The 4,690-nt window shown below is 43.1% G+C and overlaps 1 annotated feature.

Annotated features, from left to right (window-relative positions):
* Positions 399 to 1,313: an enhancer, noted in NCBI's record as "H3K27ac-H3K4me1 hESC enhancer chr14:72220712-72221626 (GRCh37/hg19 assembly coordinates)". NCBI's record gives its function as "activates a minimal SCP1, AML or CMV promoter by ChIP-STARR-seq in primed H9 embryonic stem cells {active_cell/tissue: H9 hESC(primed)}" and the evidence as "EXISTENCE:reporter gene assay evidence [ECO:0000049][PMID:30033119]".

Raw genomic sequence — 4,690 nt, forward strand, 5'->3', positions numbered from 1 at the left:
GCTTGAACCTGGAAGGCCAGATGGAGGAAAAAGAACTTCTGTTGCTGGGCGCGGTGCCTCATGCCTGTAATCCCAGCACTTTGGAGGCCGAGGCGGGTGAATCACTTGAGGTCAGGAGTTCAAGACCAGCCTGGCCAACATGGCGAAACTCTCTCTCTACTAAAATACAAAAATTAGCCTGGCGTGGTGGTGGGCGCCTGTAATCCTAGCTACCCGGGAGGTTGAGGCAGGAGAATTGTTTGAACCCAGAAGGTGGAGGTTGCAGTGAGCCAAGATTGCGCCACTGCACTCTAGCCTGGATGACAAAGTGAGACTCCGTCTCAAAAAAAAAAAAAAAAAAAACTATATATATATATATATATATATATATATATATATATATATATATATGTATATTCTGTTGATGGTTCGCATTGTTTTCTGCCCAGAATCCCCACTGTCCTCTCCTCAGGCTGATGGCAAAACTTCTCCCACCCAGATGACCTCCCTCCACCAACACCTGAGAGGCCCTCAGGCGATCTGATGCGAGGCCAGGCCGCTGGGGGCCTCCGGCAGGGACAGTCCGCAGAAGGAGGAAGGCAGATGGCAGAAGCGGCAGTGCTGTCCGGTAGGGAAGGCCCCGACGTCCGCCCTTCCCCAGACCGTGGGCTCCCCTCGCTTCCAGGGGTGGAGGAGAGAAGAGCTGGAGAAACGTGCCACGACTCAAACAAATTTACTTCCGTGGTGGATTCTGATTTTTTTGAACAAAATGAGGTGAGAAATGTCACATTTCTTTCTTCCTGCTTCAAGTCAAATCTAATCTGGCGAGGCTGGAATACAATTCTTTTCATGACAGAGGCTCTCTTCTTCCCTCTCGGGGTCCTATCGGGGTCCTATCAAGGTCCCGGGGTGCGGGCAGGAGAGGCCTCTGGTTTCTGGTTGCCACTGGCTGGTTTACAGACCCCTCGTCCTCACCCCCCTGGTCCTCAATGCCCTCCTGTTGAGCCAGGGCGTGGAGGTCACTGCACAGGCTGGGCCCGCCTCCCCTGCTGAGTTCAAGCGGTTATTCCCCTGAGGCCCTGCCGCATCGCTGGGACTGCTCAGAAGCTGGAGACACCAGTCACCTTTCTGAGCGTGGGAAGCTCTCACATTCCATTCTAGTCTTCCTGCCTCCTGAGCCCAGCCCTAGGCAGGCTCATCCCAGAGAAATGGGCCCTCACAGTGCCACCCTTAAACCTGGACAAGAGGGGCACCGTGTCCCTCTTATGGGACCTGCATATCCCCAGGGGGCACAATGTGTGAAAGAATGCCTAGCGCTTCTGTCACTGAGATGTGGCCCCTAGAGCTGGCACAGGGTCACCTGTAACCCTAAACAGATGCTGTCCTCAGGAACACTGTTCAGGCCTCAGAGAAATTGCCTTTTCGTCCCCACCCCCCTTTTTTGAGAGAAAGGGTCTCACTCTGTTACCCCGGCTGGAGTGCAGTGGCACAATCACGATTCCCTGCAGCCTCGACTTCCTGGGCTCAATCGATCCTCCTGCCTCAGCCCCACAAGTAGCTGGGACTACAGGCGCGTGCTACCACACCCGGCTACTTTTTGTATTTTTAGTAGAAATGGGGTTTCATCATGTTGGCCAAGCTGGTATTGAACTCCTGGTCTTAAGAGATCCGACTGCCTTGGCCTCCCAAAGTGCCGGGATTACAGGCATGGGCCACAAAGCCTGGCCTGAAATTGCCTTTCTTATCTTTCACCCTGTGTCTTCCAAACAGAAGGTGGCTGTGACAGAGTGGCTTGAAAGTTTAGAGGCTCCCAGAGCGGCTTGAAAGTTTAGAGGCTCTTCTGCTCAGAAACGTGGAAAGGATTTAAATATTAGAAGTGCCTAGGGCGGAGGGAAGACAGATTAATTCACTTGTCAAATACTTTCTTCCAGCATCAAAGCTCAACAAAGTGTTGCTTCTCAATAGTACTGAGTCCTTTCTCTTGCTTCTCTTTGTGTTCTAATTCATGGTTTCAGTTCTTTGATATTCACAACAGGTACGCATGGTGGCTGAAGGGTGCTTTGTGATATTAAACAATACGTATTCCTCTTAAATGTGTGTATGTAAAGGCTAGAGGTAACATGTTTGAAGCGAAATGTCGATTCTTTATATTGTTAACTCTATAGAAAATGACCAGTAGAATTTAAATAGTGCTATTTTTATAAAAATGTTTAAGATTTAATCTAAATTCAAAATATCAAATAAAAATTTCAGCTTTTAAAAAAGCTTGATTTACTTTGTTGTTTAAATTTTGTCTTTTATTTTCATTAAAAAATCTTTTGATTTTTTTTATTTTAAATAATAGAGGCAGGGTCTCACCATGTTGTCTAGGCTGGTCTTGAACTCCTGGACTCAAGTGATCCTCCCACCTTGGCCTCCCAAAGTGCTGGGAGTACAGATATGAGCCACGTTGCCAGGTCTGTCTTTTAATTTAAAATGTGTGGCTGGGCACAGTGACTCACACCTATAATCCCAGCACTTTGGGAGGCCCAAGTGGGTGGATCATTTGAGATCAGGAGTTCGAGACCAGCCTGGCCAACATGGTGAAACCTCATGTCTACTAAAAATACAAAAATTAGCTGGGTATGGTGGCGCATGCCTGTAATCTCAGCTCCTTTGAAGACTGAGTTGGGAGAATCGCTTTAACCCGGGAGGTGGAGGTTGCAGTGAGCCAAGATCACGCCACTGTACTCCAGCCTGGGTGAGAGAGCAAGACTCCATCTAAAAAAAAATAAAATAAAATGTGTGACTACTTGAGAGAAAAAATTTTTTGAAAACATAATTTTAATATTTTAATTTTTACATTTATGGCAATTCATGTTTTTGATTAGTACATTTTAAAATTGTATTCATTCAGAATACAGTTGCATTGAATTTTTTTAGGTCCTGGATAATATGTGAATAAGTCAAAATAATAAAAATAGAAAATATGGCAGTGGAGCTCTGAAAATAAAAAAGATTGAAAAGAGAAAAGAAAGAAAATCTTCAGAGAAATGGACTGCATGCTTTTTTTTTTTTTTTTTTTTTTTTTTTTAGGCGGAGTCTCGCTTTGTCACCCAGGCTGGAGTGCAGTGGCGCGATCTCAGCTCACTGCAACCTTCACTTCCCAGGTTCAAGAGATTCTCCTGCCTTAGCCTCCCAAGTAGCTGGGATTACAGGTGCCCGCCACCACGCCCAGCTATTTTTTTTTTTTTGTATTTTTAGTAGAGACCGGGTTTCACCATGTTAGCCAGGATGATCTTGAACTCCTTACCTTGTGATCCGCACACCTCAGCCTCCCAAAGTGCTGGGATTACAGGCGTGAACCACTGCGCCCAGCTGACTGCATACATTTTTAACAAGTGGAAACACTAATAAAAGTGAGCAGGCTTGCATATCAAAAAAGCACTCACACCATTACTAAACTGACAAAGGAAGACTTGATAAACAGCCAAGGTCAAAGGTTTCAACAAAGACAAGGAAATAGGTGTGAAGGCCTGAAATAATATTATGTGTTCAATGTTTAGCTAAGTAAGTGATGTTTTTGATGATAACCACAGATTATTTACAGAATATTTACAGAAAACAAGGAATAATCTTAAAACTTACTAGAAATAATTTTGAAATTTGATGCGAAAATGGCTGAAACAGGCTGAAAATTAAAGAAATAGTCCCTTTCCAGAATGGAGAATTCAGAACAAGATTGTTATGAGTAATACAGTGAGAAAAGAAATCATGCATATAATATATCCAAATCAACTAGATCATTCTAGAGATAAAAGACACATTGAATCACTAACATGTATTATGTATACATCACTGAACTACCAGAAGAAAACAAGGGCATTGAAAATAGTGAAGGTAGTTAATTGGTTTTACAAATATTGTAAAAAATATTTTTAAGTGAAGAACTAAAAAACATCTCAACTTTGGGTGTTGATTTAAAGCAGAGGTGTTTATATAGAGGGCTAAATAGTAAGCATTTTGGTCTTCACAAGCTGGACTGAGCCTTCAGTCTTTCTGGCTATTTCAGGCATAAAGAAGAGGTCCCAGGATAATACCAGGGTCAGCCTATTCCAGACAGAAAACTTCAGGAAATGCTGAAAAGATCACAGTATCCTTAGCCCAGGATGCTGGGGGGGTTCCTGTTCACAACGGTGCTATTCTAAGGGACTTCTGCCAACTTAGAGACCGAATCTAAATTTCTCAACATCGTGTTTACTGCCTGCCACTAAAAGAACAAATTAGACATGCCTGCGGCACATGACATTTTATAATCTCTTATTGGTGTTGCATATTTTCTTTGTGAATATTTTAATGTTTTTATTATTTAATTGAACTTCCATATCTTTTAAAAGATACAGGCTATCTGACCAACCAAGTCGATGCTTTACATTGCAAATTTAGTATAGAATAATTTTTGGTTCTTTAATTTTTTTTTTAGGTTTCTTTCTGTGGTCCAACCTACCACCCTCATATTTCCAGCAGAAGGAACATGAAATGAAAAAGGAAAAAAGCCCTTACAATATCATACGAGTTTCTCTACCAGCACATCATGCTGGTGTCCTAAAGAAGCCAGACAGCAGAGTTAACGGGTACAAGTTTAAACGTTGTCATCATATTTTATTCTGTGTTCAAAACCACTTTCGTGATTTCCCTAATAACACATGCAAAGTCTCCTTTGAAGTTATGG

The sequence above is a fragment of the Homo sapiens genome, chromosome 14 (genome assembly GCF_000001405.40).
Source record: "Homo sapiens chromosome 14, GRCh38.p14 Primary Assembly".
NCBI lineage: Eukaryota > Metazoa > Chordata > Mammalia > Primates > Hominidae > Homo > Homo sapiens.